This window comes from Homo sapiens, chromosome 2 (assembly GCF_000001405.40).
Source record: "Homo sapiens chromosome 2, GRCh38.p14 Primary Assembly".
Classification (NCBI taxonomy): domain Eukaryota; kingdom Metazoa; phylum Chordata; class Mammalia; order Primates; family Hominidae; genus Homo; species Homo sapiens.
The window spans coordinates 43,044,376-43,060,972 of record NC_000002.12 but is presented as its reverse complement, the minus strand read 5'-3'; the positions used below and the strand labels follow the sequence as shown (position 1 = coordinate 43,060,972).

Genomic DNA, 16,597 nt, shown 5'->3' with positions numbered 1-16,597 from the left:
ATTCACAGCTTATGGCTAAGACAGGTGGAATTGGGAGAATGCCCTGGGAAGGTTTCAAGGAAGTACAAGGGAGGATTTGGGGAACTGCTCAGGGGTGAGAAATACAGCTTGGGAGACAGGGCGGAGGGGAAGCTCGGTGCACATCCCAGACTGAGGAGGTGTCAGAGGGAAAGGGTCCTTGGGACAGGGTGTCTTGGGACCCTTTCCTGCCTGGGAGGGCTTCTGGAGGAGGAGGTGAGTGGATGGGGAGTGACAGCCTGGCTCTTTGCTCTCCTACCTTATCCTGACCCACCTTGCCACATCTCTGGGGCCAGCCCTGCTCCTTATCTGGAGGCAACCCATCAGAGGAGTTAAAGGGTCAACTCTGGAATTGGAAAAGCTGGCCACTCACCAGCATGTGACCTTGGATAAGGCTTACACCCTCTCTGAGCCTCAGAGTACTCATCTACAAAGAGTGGTGAAAAATCTGTGTCAGAGGGTTCTTGCAAAGGTAAGTTGAGATAATGCCCATGAGGGCCAACACCTGGTACATGCTGGGGACTTGGTGAGTGTTACAGTCAATTTATCTTCCCTTTAGTCTACCTTTGAGCAAGATCAAACAGCCACTTTGCCCTCATACCTGGAATCCAGCCCTTCCTCTGGATCCCACGCCCCATGTGGCAGTTTTAAAACCTGGCCCCCAAATTCCAACACTCTTTCCATCTAGAGATCAGCAATTTTTTTTTTTTTTTTTTTTTTTTTTTTTTTGCTTTTTTATTTTGAGACGGAGTTTCGCTCTTGTTGCCCAGGCTAGAGTGTAATGGCGCGATCTCTGCTCACTGCAACCTCCACCTCCCGGGTTCAAGTGATTCTTCTGCCTCAGCCTCCCAAGTAGCTGGGATTACAGGCATGCACCACCACGCCAGGCTAATTTTTGTATTTTTAGTAGAGACGGGGTTTCTCCATGTTGGTCAGGCTGGTCTTGAACTCCCAACTTCAGGTGATTCGCCCGACTCAGCCTTCCAAAGTGCTGGGATCACAGGCGTGAACCACCACGCCCGGCCTAGAGGTCAATTTTATATCCCCTCCTGTTGAATCTGGAATATGTGACTGCTTCACATAATAGAATATGGCAAAAGTGATGCTGCTGCCAGCTCTGGGCCTAGGCTTTCAGAAACTGTCATCTTCTACTTCCTGTCTCTTGGGGTTTTCACTCTTGGAATCCAGCCACGGTACTGAGAGGGAGGGTGAGCAGCCTGTGGAGAGGCCCATGTGGAGAGGAACGGAGGCCCCAGCTCTCAGCCCTGGCTGAGCTCCCAGCCAGCAGCCAGTTCTCGCTGACTGCCTGAATCATCTTACAAGTGGGCCCTCAAGTCCGCAGATGAGCTGCCCTAGCTACCACCTTGCAGAGAAGAAACGAACCTTCCCACCATGCCCTGCCCAAACTGTAGATTCAGGAGCGAAATTAGTCATTGATGATATTTTAGGCCATTAAGTTTTGGAGTTACAAAGCCATAGTAACCTGAACATCTGCTAACTGGGTCCAGGACTGTTACTATTGCTCCACCTCCTCCTCTTCCTCCTCTCCGCCGTGTGCTTGAGTTGTGATGTGGGTTGTGGTGTGGTGGTTTAGTGGGTGGGCACCGAGCCACACTACCTGGGCTCAAATCCTGACTCTCACATATCAATTGTATGACTCTAAGGAAGCAACGTAGTCTCTCTGTGCCTCAGTTACCGTGTCTGTAAAATGGGGGTGAAAGTAGTACAGAATTGTTGGGAAGATTAAATGAACTAAGCAACATAAAGCACGTAGAAAAGCACCGGGCATGTGTACAATTATTCTGCCAAGCCAAGGCCCCAGCCCTCTTGGGTTCTGGGGTGCTGACTCCCTGGGGCCTCCATCATTTGAGATGATCCCTACCTGGCCATTTGAGGCCCCAGACTTCCCAGGTGCCACCAGCCTACCTCCCCGGACTATCACTCTTCCTGCTGGTGTCAGGCTTTGCCCATTAGGCCAGTCTTGCTCACTCCCATGACACTTCTGGCTCTGCCCCCTGGTCCTTCCCTGCACTGCTATAATTCTGACTTCCTTTTGGCTGGGCTGTTGGGGAAAAAGAGAGAGTGGTGAAGCGGAGGTGGACCCCCGCCATAGAGGGTGGTGCACTGGTGGGTGTGTTGGGGGAGCTTTAGTTCATAAACTTTACTGGGAAACAGAAGCCTTATCATCCACACATCTCTTGGGAAGACATTGATTTTCTTGCTGACATGAGTCCAGAGAGTAAGAAACACACTCACAATATGAGCAAGGCCTGCCGTGGAAAGCCAGAGAATTTTCACTAAATCTTTCTTAGGAATTGCAATGATAGCACGCAGCAGATTCCTGAGGAAGGTGGCGTTGCGTGTTAATTAGGTTTTGCCAGAGAAAAATGAACGTGCTCTAAGACACTTTCCCACGTATGTGTTCGTGCAGGTTGTGAGAACTCAGAAAAGCTTTGCATCCAGGCTGTGCCCAGGACTCAGATTTCACTAGCTCCAGGGGTTCTCTTTTGCAGTGAACACAGTGGCCTCCTCATTAGAGCTTTTCAAACCAGGGTGGGCACTGAGGAAGGGATTGAAAGTCCCCTGGGGCAGAGGGACCTTTGAAATGGGGAGCCACTGCCCCAGCCTGAGAAGCAGAGAACAGTGACCTGGGGGGGCGTCCATGGGGGTAGCCTGAGTTCCGGAGCTTGGTGGTCCCGCAGCGCTACTTAAAGGTCACTGCACCATCTCCAGTGATTCCCTGAGTCTGCCCTGCGGCTTCCAATTCCCCCAGTGGGCCTGGAAGAACGACCCACTTCATGCTGGGAAAGCCATGCTGATGCTGTTGACCTGCAGGAATAGAATTTGGAACCGTATCCCTCCCTCCATCCCCTCACAGGAGACAGAAAGCAGGGAGGATTGAGAGGATCTGGGCACGCGGGGGTTGCTCAGGAAGCAGGAGGGGGCTGGCTGCAGGGAGAGAGCAGCAGGAGTTCACCTGGGAGAGGAAGTATGTGAAGCAGGCTTGCCGCAGCACCACCTGGCCACCTGATCCCCCGGTGGAGTCTCAGGAATCCCATTTCTGGAGGTATTCAGGCCATGTTGAGTGTGTGGGGAGTGTGAGGCGGAGAGAGCCCTGAGTCAGAATCCACACCATGACACTCACTGTGGTGATGACAGCAGGCACATTCCGATAGGGACAATATTGATCAGTTCAGTAGTTCCTGACCTGTCTGGCTGCAGAGTTGAATCTCCTAGAGCCTTAAAAAGAAAACAAAAAACGATGCTGGACCCCACTGCAGGCTGATGGAATCCAGTGGGAGCCTGACGCTGCCCGGGTGACTGATGGCCAGGCAGGACCGAGGACCGCGGGATTGCACTCGGTAGAGGACCCCCTCCCCTAGTGCCTTCGGCCGTCCCCACAGCCGTGCTGAGGTGAGCAACCAGGCTGCTGGGTGGAGGGAAGGAGATGCCCAGCCCCCTTGGGGCAGGATGGAGTTGGATGCCTCTCCAGCTGCCACTGGCCCCTGGCAGGGCTCAGAGGATGCCCCTGCATTAAGTGAGGACTCGGGCTTTCTGTCTCCCAGGACCCTCACGTCCCTCAGCCTCTGCTGCCTTTGGGGCACCTCTGTGGCCAGGGTGGCTGGGTGGCCTCCGTGTGCTCCCCAGCCCTGATTCCACCAGCCCTGTCAGCCTGGCACAGCCTGGGTCCCCTGCCAGGTCTGGTGTGCAGCTGGCGTGAGGCCTAGAATCTGTCAGCGGCTTCATTGAGATGCTGCCCCATCTCTGCCCTAGTTCAGGGTTTCAGAGCCTTAAGGCACACATCCCAGTCTTTTCCTGCTCCCTCTGTCACCCTGGAAACAGGTCTCAGTTTCTGGCGGCCCAGGGTGGATGGTGGGGTTGTCCCCATAGGGCAGGGTAGGGCATGGGTGGGGGGCAGTGCTGGCTGGCTGAGTTGGGACAGACCTAGCAGAACCAAGGCTTGGCAGGGTGTGGGGGCTGGGGAGGGCCAGGGCAGGCCCACGCTGAAGAAAGGGCCCTTTCTGAAGTTCACCGGCATAAAGGGAATTTTTTTTGTTGGTTTGTCTTCCCTGGTGAGGGTGCCTTCTTCTAATTTACACAAAAGTGTCATATGTGTCAATGGTGGCCAGGTGTGTGGAACCTGTCTCGGGTTCCCTGGGCATTTCCTGAGCCCAGAATCTCTCTCACACCCACCTGGTCAGTGATTTATCCATGGGAAAAACCTGGCAGCTTGTGGAGTTCTGGCAGCTTGTGGGGTTCGGCCCTTGAATCTCCTGTGGTGGGTGACTCTGGATGTGCCCAGCCCCACCTCCAAGATGAGGAGAGACAGGACCTTCTCCTCCCAGACTCCCAGCCAGCCACTCTCCCCTTACCAAGCCCAAGAGGGGAGGATAGTGGGTGGCTGTGTGGAACCTGTCTGGGGTTCTCTGGGCTTTCCCAAGCCCAGAATCCCTGTCACAGCCACCTGGGCAGTGATTTGTCCATGGGAAAAACCAGGTGAGGACTAGAAACCCTGCTTAGTTCTTGCCCTGACTCTCCTGGACTTTCTCCCCCAAAAACCTCCACTTACTTACGCACTCCCCACAGCTTCATGAGGTTTCAGGGGAGGTTGAAGACCATGCTCTGGATGTGAAGTCATTCGGCCTGGACTCTGGTCCCGGCTCAGCTGCTCCTGCATCCCCCCAGTTCCCAGGGCCCCCATTTGCCCATCTGGAGACAGGGCCTTGCCCTTCCCAGGCAGGACTGCAGGTGAGTGTGTGGACTGGCACCTGGCTGGCCCACTGGGGTCCCCTCAACTCTGAGTGGGGTACATCAGTGACTGCTGTGGGTGCCTGCCCAGGTCCCTTCACCAGCCCATGATGCAGATCCCAGCTGCTATGGGAGAGTTGGCTGCTGAGGCTCACTGCTGCCTGCTTCTCTGAAGAATTGTCCTGTCTGACCAGCTGGGAGATTATCCCCTCCCAGATGCCCATTCCCCAACTTCATCCCCATTCCCCAAAACCAATGTCTGACCCAGGGTAGCAGAGCTGGCCCCTTTGCCTTCAGGTGGGACGGACCAATCCCATGGTGCTCCCAAGCTCCTTGGGATCCAGCTGAAGCTAGAGGCCACATCTTTGCCTTGGTTTCTCCCTGGCCCCATCCCGCTTCCCTCACTGCCCTGCTCCTGAGAACACTCCCCAATAAACCACATTCACTGGGTCCCCTCCCAGGCTCTGCTTCTAGGACAGCAGGCACGACCTATAAGAACTCTAGGGCCCTGTGGCTCCAGGAGCACCTGACCCTGATCCGGCGATGAAGCAGATCAAGGCACGAGTTGTCCTTGGCTGCAGGAGCTCAGAGTGGGTGAGGGAAGTGTGGCAGCTCAGGAGCCTGAGCTAGGGGCATTGATCTGTGCAGGGGAGGCAGGCTGGAGGAGCAGCTATCCAGCCTCGCTCACCCTTCCCCCGGCCCCCACCCTGAGCCTGGCCCCTGGGAGGCACATGTTATTAGTCCTGTCTTACAGGGGTGGCCGCCGAGACCAGATAGTCACTAAGTCTCTAAACCGTAGGTGACCCAGTAAATTGAGTGCCTTTGCTGGATTCCAGTGCCTGTGTCTTGCTCATTGCCCCTGAGTAGTTGCACAGTGTCTGCCCTGGAGGCATTGGCAGAAGCCGGGCCCTTGGCAGGAAGGAACTGGGGGAAAACTGAGTACTGGGTCTCCCCTGGTGTGGGGAAAGGGCCTGACCGCGTTAGAATGGCTGGAGCAGCTGACCCGACCCATCTGGCGGGCAGCTGGATTGGGAAGTTGGGGAGCAAGCTTCCTGCAGAGCTTCTTTCCCTTTTCCTGCCAGGAGAAAGGGGTCTTACAACTTCCCATCCTCATGCTGACTCTACCCTTCCCTGAATGTGCATGGGTGGGTGGCTCAGTGTTGAACACAAAGGCAGGGGTACAATGGGGACATTTCAGGCACCATCATTGGTGAAATTAGGGACACTCTCAGGATAGAGGACTTCTTGAGGCTTTCTTCACATCACCAAGTCATGTACACTGTGCCCTCATCTCAAAGAGCGGGGAACGCCTTTGACACTTGGACCATTCCAACCTCCTTCTTCCACACCCCTGCACATACCACAGCCTGCCTGAACATTGAGACACCCCCTTGGCATTTGGGGAAGGGGAGTCTGGAAGAGCCTCAGGGGAGAGGCCAGGTGCCCTAGCAGAGAGGGCTGAGGCCAAGGAGGAGGAGGAAGTGCTGCATGCTTTAATGACCCGTTCATATTCCCATTCATGTTGGCTGGGCTTGCATTGACACTCCTGGGCCAGTGCAGCTGGTCACTTATGCACTGCAGCCACTGCTTCCTGTGCTCAGCTGGCGGTGAGGCTGCAAAGGCTGGGGTCGCCAGCACCAGCGACACCCTGGCCCCAGCAGCTGCTCTGATAAGCTCAGGCTCAGCCGGCGGAAGGAGGGTGGTGGCCCCTGGCTCAGCAGCCTGGCCCAGAGAGCTGTGGCCATTGTGCTATCTTGCGTGTTTACTGCACACTTTCCTTCTGCTCACTGCCAGGAAAGCCATGGCTCTCTGGACTCCAGGGAGGAGGCAGGACATGTTTAAATGAGTGGCTTTTGGGCTTGGTGAAAGCCTCCAGCCCGTGGGCACACAAGAATGGTGAGGGGTGAACTGATGCAAGTCTGGGGGCAGCGTAGCAAAGTGGATCTCAAACCCTAAAGATGTGCATGCCTTCTGACCCGGCAATCTACCAGGAATTCATCCTAAGGAAATAATATTAAGTTCATACAAGGCGTGAGTATAAGGACACTTATCCCAGCCTTGTTTACAACTGATACCAGTCAATGGCAGATTGCACATTCACACAATGGAGCGTGTGGCAGCCATTTACACAGCGATGGTATTATCAATAAAGCTGCGATGAACATTCTGGTACATGTCTTTTGGTGGGCATATGAACGCCTTTCACTTGGGTACATACCTAAGATGGGTTCAAAGGATTATGTGTGTTCCATTTGAGTTGATGCTGCAAAACAGTTTATGAGACTCCCACCACCAGTTTATGAGAACTCCAATTGTCCTAACATCTTTGTCAACACTTGGTATTGTCAGCCTGTATCGCTTTGGCTCTTCTAGTGAATGCATAAAAGTGTTGCGTTGTGGTTTAAATCTGCATTTCTAAATATATGCCAACAGAAAAATGGATAAACAAATTGGGAATCTACATGGCAATTAAAAAGAACGAACTACTGATTCATGCAACTACATGGATGAACCTCAAAAAACAATTATACAGAAATGTGTACACAAAAGAGCACATACTGTATGGTTCCATTTATACGAATTGCCAAAACAGGCGAAAGTAAGGTGATAGAGGTCAGAACCGTTGCCTGCTCTGGGATGGGGAGGTATGGACTAGGATCAGGGAAATTTCTGGAGTGTTGGAAATGTCTGAAACTTTGTTCTAGGTAGTGGTTTAAAAGTGTATATACATGTACAATTTCGTCAAACTTATCTTTGCATTTTATTGTATATAACGTATACTTCATAGAAAAAATTTAAATATATACTAAAAGAGGGAAAATAATGTAGATCTATATTGATTAATCTGGAATTATGTTCAAAATAAAGTAAATGTAAAAAGCAGCTTGCAAAATTCTGTGGACATCTAGGGCTTCCCTCATGAGCTCTTTTTTGGTGAAAGTCCAAAACTAACATAAAATGTGGGGTTTCAAGCTAACACAAAATGTAGGAATTACCCTGAATAATGTGCAAAAGATTCCAAGTGCATAGGAACCATTGAATAGAGATAAGAAATAACCCATTGGCACATTGATAAGGAAATCAAATATTATAGCTCTCAGCACCACATTTTGAAGGACTGTAAGTGATAAGGCAGGAAAATCTGTTAATTATGTGGATTCTGAATATTGAAATGAAAACAGTTAAAGAAATCTGGAATATTTAACCTGGAAAAGAGACAACTTAGAAGCAAGTATATTTAGGGATTTGACGGCTTACCATATGAATGAGGTCTCAAATTTATTCTGCGTCATTAGAAAGAGAAGCAAAAGGAAACAAGATGGATCTCATCAGAGAAAGAACCTCTGTTGATGGGATATTGAATGAGTGGTCATCAAGATTCCTTCCAACTCTGATTCAAAAAGTCAGGTGATAAGGGCACATGATATATCCAGAGTCACATGGACAAGAGTTAAGACTAGAATCTTAATCCTATATGCTAGCAGTGAAATTCTATAAGCAAGTTTGTGGAGAGGAACAAAAAAGGGACGTGTAGACTTAGCAAAAATAGCAGCAATACTCCCTCCCATCCCTGAAAGAACTCCTCTTCCCAATGTGACTTTTTAGCACCTCCCATCAAGAAGTGAAGTCTATTTTTCTGTCCTTTGAACCTGAGTTTGGCCCTGTGACTTGCTTTGGCCAATGGATCATTAACAAATGTGAAGAAAGCAAAGGCTGGAAAAGAGCTTACACACTGGACTTGCCCTCCTTTCCTGCTCTTATGATTGCCACCATGTGAATAAGCCCAGGCTAGCCTGCTGGAGACATGTCCCAGTCACTCCCATTACTCCAGCAGATAACCAAAAAATAGCAGTTCCAAACCCCAGATGCGTGAGTGAGATCATCCTAACCAAACAGTCCCCAGCTGAACCACAAGCTAACTGTAGCTACCTAAGTAAGCCCAGGTGAGGCCAGCCAAAGAATCAGCCTGCTGAGCCCAGCTCCAATTGCCAACTCTCAGAATCATGAGCTACTAAGTGCTTAAGTCACTAAGTTTTGGGGTGAGACGCTAGGCAGGAAAAGCTAACTTACACAAAAGGCAGGCATCTTTTTGAATAAAAAAGTCATAAAAATCCTGTATTTCAGAGATTCTGGAGGCAAGAAGTAGCTTAAGTTATGATGTATTTTTATTTTTATTTTTTATTTATCTTTTGTGAGACAGTAGCTTGCTCTGTCACCCAGGTTGGAGTGCAGTGGCACAATCACAGTTCACTGCAGCCTTGACCTCCTGGGCTCAAGTGACCCTCCCACTTCAGCCTCCCAAGTGGCTGAGACTACCAGTGTATGCCCAGCTACTTTTTAAATTTTTTTGTAGAGACGGGTTCTCCCTATGTTGCCCAGGCTAGTCTTGAACTCCTGGCTCAAGTGATCTTCCCACCTTGGCCCTCCAAAGTGTTGGGATTACAGAAGCAAGCCACTGTCCCTAGCCATGTGTATTTTTAAAATCAGGATATTCTCAGCCTTGGATGGGGGCAGACAAGTTCCTGGAAATACAAACAACAGACATAGAATAATAGGTATAAGGACAACAACAACGATTGCTAACATTACTGTGCCAGGCGCACGCCTCAGCCCTTATCACATATTATTTCACTGAATCATCGTAACAAGCCTAGGAGTCTGTTCTAAGACACAGACATGCCCAATGACAGTACCGATGGGTGGCTCACCCAGCTGGGGCTTGTGAGGGGTAGGGCCAGGAAGTGATCTTTTAGAGCAACCTTGCAGGGAGGGTGTGTTTTCTCAGGGCACGCTGCGCGCTCATCCTTCCCCAGGTGGGAGGTTGTGGCCTTGATTTACCTCCCACCCCATAGCCTCCTTTCCTCCATCATCCTCAGCTGTCCTCTCCCTAGAAAATCTTCAAAGGCCTTTCATGATGTGCTCAGTGATTTCCAGACTTCCCAGTCTGAGGATCTCCCTTTCTAAGCTCTCATCCTCCAGAGGCTCCTCTTCCCATCCTACACCACTGCCCTTTTACACAACTTCAAGGCTGAAAGGGTTTTGGAGCTGCCCTTTGCACGGAGACCAGGAAGCAAAGAAGTCAAGGGACTGGCCAAGGTCACCCAGCTGGTCCTGCCTGGGCCTGGAGGACTCAGACTTCTTAGGTCCCGATCCAACATTTTTTTTTCATCACGTGGGCGCATCAAGGAGCTGTTTGTGAGGCTGATGGGATTGAGCTCTGGACTTGGGCCCTGGGGTCCAAAGAAGTTAAGGACAATCCTTCAAGTCTCTGTGGTTGAGCTGAGATGGAAACAGCAGGATCTGCAGCTTCTCCCGCTGAGCAAGGCACAGTGTCTCCTGCTCTGCCTTGCATTGCTGCATTTTCTTCCTTTATTGTCTGAAACAATTTCAGCCTCTCCCAGTGTTGGATTTGCCCAAACTCCTCGTGGAGGTGGATGTGAGGGGTGCCATTGTGTGATGTGTAACTGGGTGGCGGTATTAGTGTGGACACACACCTCATGGCATGTCTGTCTGTGCCAGCAAGCATCTGTCGGTCTGGGTGTGATGTGACTCAAATGCTGAGGCTCACATTTCCTCCTTAACCCCTGCCCCCCGCACCCCTTCCCGTTCCTCCCCTCCCCTCTCATAGCAGCTGTATTCCCCGCTCTCCTCCCAGGGAAGGAATGTTCCTGGCAGCCTCAATGCCCACCCCAGGCTGAAAGCAGCACAGGTGGGACACTGTGTCCAGCTGGCCCCAAGACAGGGCCGCCCAGAAGAGTCTCCCCCAGCGCCCCCCATCAGTGCTGCCTGCAAGCAGCTGTTGCCTTGAGGGACAGGATTGCCCCAAGAGGAAGTGCCTGGAGGCCAGGCAGCCTGTCTGTGGAAGCCCATCCTGGGCTCTGCCTCAGGTCCAATCCAGGGGAGTGGGGTTGGCTGGGAACCCTTGGGGGCCAGGGCTCCATTCCCTGTACATCCCTTGGTACCCCATCAACAGATTCATCCTCGGCACCTACAACGTGGCAGGAGCTGGGGCCTGGCCTAGGAGCTTTCAGTGCAGGCAGGCAGAAGTTCCCACACAAAACGCAAGTTGTCTGGGCGATGCCAGGTGGGCGGTGGCAGGGCCCCCTCTGGGAAAACGGTCCTGTGGTTCTGAGAAGTGCAAGACCCACTGCACTAGGGGTAAAAACCAGACACTACAAACTCACATGACAGCAGCAGGTAGGACTTGCCCAGGGTTGTGAGAAAAGCCCATAAATGGTTTTAGTGGTTTAGAGCGAGGCACATTTGTCCTTTGGGAGTAAGAGTGGGGAGGTAGGGTGACACCTGTGATGAGCATTAAAGGATGGGTGGGAAGCAGAGGAGAGCGCGGAGAAGCGTGATCCTGGCAGAGGCACAACATGAGCCAAGGTGTGTGCCCCTAAAGCGCATCTGGTTCCATTGTGGGACCGAGGCTCGTGCCCAGCCAAGAGGCCAGTAAAAGCCAGCATAGGGACAAATATCTGTGTTTGAAGTGTCGTAATTATGAGGAGAGGCACCTGGTGAGACCTGGGGGGTTGGGAAGGCTTTGGAGAAAAGGGGAGGTCTGAGACAGGGGAGAGAAAGGAACACGGAAGGAAGATACCATTTATGAACCCAGAAGGGCCCCTCACTCCCGGCCTTGATCCTGAAGGCCAGACGCCCAGGGACTGGGGCCCACGGCTGCGATATCTGGGACAGCAGGGACCCTCAGCTTGTCCCAGCAAGGATAGCTAAGGCTTAGACCAGGGCAATAGGGATTCAGTGTGTCTTGGGAGACTCAAGTCTGGGGAGCCTCCCTCTGGCCCCTCTTCAGCTCCCAGGAGGCCCTTGCCCTCACACAGGCTACATCTGTGGAGCACAGAGTTGAGCAGGGGGCTCTGTGAGGGTTGTCTCATTGTGGCTAAGCAGCTTGAGTTGTGCTGTGTGATCTCAAACAAATCACTCACCGTCTCTGAGACTCAGTTTTCTTGCCCCTAGTACAAGGGAGTTGGGCTCCATGGGATCCCAAATAATTCCTACCTACCTCACTTGCCAGTCCTGATTAACTGGTAAGTCTGTGTGGAGGATTGTGAAGCCAAGTCCAGGATCAGAGGGATGGATGCTGTGATGGATTAGTGATGTCTGCTGTAGCCTCCCAAGGTGGTTGGGTGGCACATGTGCTTCACCTCTCCCATCTTCATCACACCCTTTGTGACATCCTGTGCTCTAACAGTAGGCAGAGGACCAACCCCCCATGAGAAGTGGTTATTCCACTACTTGTGACAAATCTGTGTGTTCCCCCAGGGCCAAACATCTGGATAGAAGGCATGTGTCTCCAAGCAGCTGACACTTGGTCTCATGTAGACAGAGGCATAGCTGCAGTTTCATAAGGAAGTAGAGGAAGGGTGGACGGGCGCAGTGGCTCATGCCTGTAATTCCAGCACTTTAGGAGGCTGAGGCGGGCGGATCACCTGAGGTCAGGAGTTCAAGACCAGTCTGGCCAACATGGCGGAACCCCATCTCTACCAAAAATACAAAAATTAGCCGGGCATGGTGGTGGGCGCCTGTAATCTCAGCTACTCGGGAGGCTGAAACAGGACAATCGATTGAACCCAGGAGGCGGAGGTTGCAGTGAGCCGAGATTGGGCCATTGCACTCCAGCCTGGGTGACAAGAGCAAAACAAACAAGCAAACAAAAAAATTAGAGGAAGGGTAAATACCCACAAATCAGAGTTCTTGGTCCATTTACGTTTCTGGCATGTGGAGAAATTGGTACCCAGCTGCATTTATTTATAGCTAATAAGAAGGAAAATTTGGGCTGGGTGTGGTGGCTCACGCCTGTAATCCCAACACTTTGGGAGGCCGAGGCGGGAGGATAACCTGAGGTCAGGAGTTTGAGACCAGCCTGGCCAACATGGTGAAACCCCGTCTCTACTAAAAATACAAAAATTAGCCAGGTGTGGTGGTGCGTGACTGTAATTCCAGCTACTCAGGAGGCTGAGGCAGGAGAATTGCTTGAACCTGGGAGGTGGAGGTTGCAGTTAGCCAAGATCACGCCACTGCACTCCAGCCTGGGCGAAAGAGCGAGACTCCGTCTCAAAAAAAAAAAAAAAAAAGGAAAATTTGGTTGTTGTGTTTTGCTGAAACAGAAAAAAATTGTCAACAAACAAAAGAACAGATTAAGAGAAATTGATGAGTTATATAATTGGGTTTAAATAGAGCCTAAAATCTTGAGAAGAACTTTAATCAGAAAATAAGAACAGTTTTGTGAAATGCGTGTATTTTGTGTGTCTGTCGATGTGTGTTTGTAAATGTAGCATATGTGTGTAGACTGTTGATACACAAGGCATAGGTTCATGTATAAATGTGATGTGAATGTGTATTTAGTGTGTGGGTGGTATGCAGTAGGTATGTTTACATGTGTTTGGTGTGGGTACATGCAGTATGCCTATTGTATGCAACGAACATAGAAAAGGTAGGTATAGTGTGAATGTGTGCAGGATATGTGTGCATTGTGTGTGTGCACGTAACCCGTGACATGTGTATTTCGGGCTAGTATAAGGTGTCCTTGCTCTGTGACGCACTGGCCTTGAGCAGGGCCCAGCAATGACGTGAAGTAACATCAGTCTGAAACAGCTCCCGGTGGAGCTGCATGGAGAAATGAAAGAGAAGAGGCCTGTGACTTTCCCGGGGCTTGCCCCTCCAGGAGGAAGTGAGGAATTGTAGGGGTCTGCTTCCCACACCCTGCGAAATCCAGACATGCAGAAAGCGACTGGGGTCCTGTGGAAACCTTGCTGCCAGCTCATGGTGCCTGATGAAAAATCTTGCAGCTTAAGGCATACAGAGTGGTAGGACGGACCCTGGAGACCCGGAAAGTGGGAGGGGCGGAAGGTGAGGGGTGAAAAACTACATTTTGGGTACAACGTACACTACTCGGGTGACGGGTGCACTAAAATCTCAGACTTCACCACCGTACAACTCATCCATGTAACCAAAAACCACTTGTACCTCAAAAGCTATTGTAATAAAAAAAATTCTTTAAAAAAAAAGCTTGCGGTTTCCAGTTTCCAAGAAAAATTGCTCATCAACCTTTCCAGACCTTTTCACCCCTTCAGCAAAGATGGGAAAAGTTCCCAATGGGTTTTCACTGGGAAGTAGAGCAATTTCCATGATAGATTTGGAGCGCTTCACTGGTGATAGCAAAGGCTTAAGAAAAGTAATAATTAACTGACAGACAACTGGAGCTTCCATAACAACTGTTCTCAGTAAAGGTTGCTTCGCCCAGCACATTAGTACATCGAAGACCACAAAATGAGAGCGAGAGAGAGAGCGAGAGAGCGAGAGAGAGAGAGAGAGAGAGAGAGAGAGAGAGAGAGAGAGAGAGAGAGAGAGAGAGAGAGAGAGATGCAAAACAATCTGTTTTAACTGCCTGCAGGCAAGATGTCCAGAGGATTTTATTCCCCTGCAGAGGGCCCCAGGCTGGGTGTGGGGCGGAGAGAGCAGGAGTGCAGGCTGCTCTCCATGTGCCCTGCAGAAGTCATGGCGGCTTGCTGAGCCTCAGCTTCTGATGTGTCCGGGGGGACTGGTGACCTCAGCCCTTCCTGCCACACAGGACGGCGGGGCGAGTGCAGAGGCAGCAGCCATGAATGTTTTTGCAGAGTAGAAGGGACAGTCCCCAGGGGCAAGGTTGTTCCTGGCACAGGGCCTGGCACCAAGTAGGTGTCCAGTAAATAACTGTTGAATGAATGAGTGGCCCAGCAGGGACCATCCAAGAGAAACAGGCTGATTTCCACCAACCTCGGAGCGGGGCTTCCAGGGCAGGGCTGGGGGCAACATGTCTGCCGGTCCAGCTGCCCCGTTTCCTCCTCCTCTTTCCGGCCCTCTCCCCATAACCTTGGGTGGTTCCCACACCCCGGCTCGGAGGCTTCTGCTGCCATTGTTTGGCTGTTATCTGGGCCCAGGTCTCTGCCAGCCCAGACCCTTCATTGGATCAGGAAAAGGGGAAAGAGAAGGCAGACTGTGGGGGAATGAAAGCTTCAGGGATTGAGGAGGAAAGGAACCGGATGTCAAATGCATCTGAGGGGTACAGCCTCAGGTGAGGAAACCAGGGTTTAGAGAGGAACAGGGATGTTCCCACGGTCACACTGAAAGGTGACAGAAAAATGATGATCATAATGATTTTGGCAGGGACACCAACATGCACACCATAGCAACTCTCAGACTTAGCAACAGAGCCCTTTCATAAAATAAAAATATATTGTGGAAAACTGAAAGTAGAATAAAGGCCCTGCTGGTTGAGTTGGGGTGGGTGAGGGTGGGATGAAGACACAGAGCCCAGCTGATTAATTTCCCCGTTTTTCTTTATGCCCCTCGAGGCACCTTGGCTGGAGCAAAGATAGAAAACCACCCCAAAAGCTTGATTGTAGCTTTCCCCAAAATGTATTTCTAGAAAATCTGTTTTATGACTATGTGTCCCATGAAAAAAGGGTTCTGGCTAGGTCTGGTGGCTCACACCTGTAATCCCAGCACTTTGGGAGGCTGAGGCAGGTGGATCACTTAATGTCAGGAGTTCGAGACCAGCCTGGCCAACATGGCGAAACCCCATCTCTCCAAAAAAAAAAAAAAAAAAAAAAAAAAAAAAAAAATATATATATATATATATATATATATATATATATATATAAATTAGCCAAGTGTGATGGCACATGCTTGTAATCCCAGCTACTCAGGAGGCTGAGTTTGGAGAATCACTGGAGCCTGGGAAGCAAAGTTTGCAATGAGCTGAGATTTTGCCACTGCACTCCAGCCTGGGCAACAGAGCGAGACCCTGTCTCAAAGGAAAAAGAAAGTTGGGGGCGGGGGTGGGTTCTGTGGTCAAATTAGTTTGAGAAACACTGGATTAACCAAAGTGAGTTGGGTCTCTTCAGGATTTCTTAGAGACTTGAATATTTACATTGTGTACTGGGAGTCTTAGGGTGGTTGGTGTGTAGGGTCCTGTGAACCTACCTGTTTTATTGAGGGCCATCCCTGTAGGATGGTGCTAGGCAGAACACACTAGGGAAATGTTTTTTACTGGAGAATAGTAATAATAATTTTCGGGAGGCCAAGGCAGGAGGATTGCTTGAAGCCAGGAGTTCCAGACCAGCCTGGGCAACAAAGCAATATTTTGCCTCTACAAATTTTTTTTTTTTTTAATTAGCCAGATGTGGTGGTGTGTGCCTCTAGTTCCAGCTACTCAAGGAGGCTGAGGCAAGAGGATCACCTGAGCCCAAGAGTTGGAGGCTACAGTGAGCCATGATCCTACCACTGCATTCCAGCCTGGGTGACAGAACAAAACCCTGTCTCAAAAAAAAAGAGAAAGAAAAAACATTGCCCTCTGTCTTTCCCTCAAGACCTATCTATACTAGCCCAAAATACACATGTCACGGGTTACGTGCACACACACGATGCACACATGTCCTGCACACATTCACACTATACCTACCTACTAAAATGAGGGTAGAGGGGAGGCAGTATATACTGTGGAATGAATATAAGCTTTAGTCTTCCCTGACGCTAGAGTTAAATAAGTCCTGTGGGAAGCCCAGGCATTTCCAGGCCTCTTTCCTCCTGTCTCTGTCCTGCAAACACAAACACGGCCTGGCCCAGCATGGATAAGGTGAGTCCTGGGTCCACCGGCCAGTTATTCCTGACATATCCCCGTCCCAGGGCTGAGCTGACCCTTTGGCCCAGACAGGAGGCCCCAAGCTCGGGCTGGGCCGTGAGAGCTCCGGGAAACCTGGTTCCCACTTGGCCTGTGAGGCTGCCCTGGCCTCTCTTTCCTCTTCTTACCGATGGGAAGAATTTCTGGAAA

General features: G+C 50.9%; 3 annotated features.

Moving 5' to 3' along the window:
- Positions 13,708-14,421: an enhancer, noted in NCBI's record as "H3K4me1 hESC enhancer chr2:43273691-43274404 (GRCh37/hg19 assembly coordinates)". NCBI's record gives its function as "activates a minimal SCP1, AML or CMV promoter by ChIP-STARR-seq in naive H9 embryonic stem cells {active_cell/tissue: H9 hESC(naive)}" and the evidence as "EXISTENCE:reporter gene assay evidence [ECO:0000049][PMID:30033119]".
- Positions 13,708-14,454: a biological region, named in NCBI's record as "H3K4me1 hESC enhancer GRCh37_chr2:43273691-43274404".
- Positions 14,375-14,454: an enhancer, noted in NCBI's record as "active region_15657". NCBI's record gives its function as "activates an Ori minimal core promoter by ATAC-STARR-seq in GM12878 lymphoblastoid cells {active_cell/tissue: GM12878}" and the evidence as "EXISTENCE:reporter gene assay evidence [ECO:0000049][PMID:35858748]".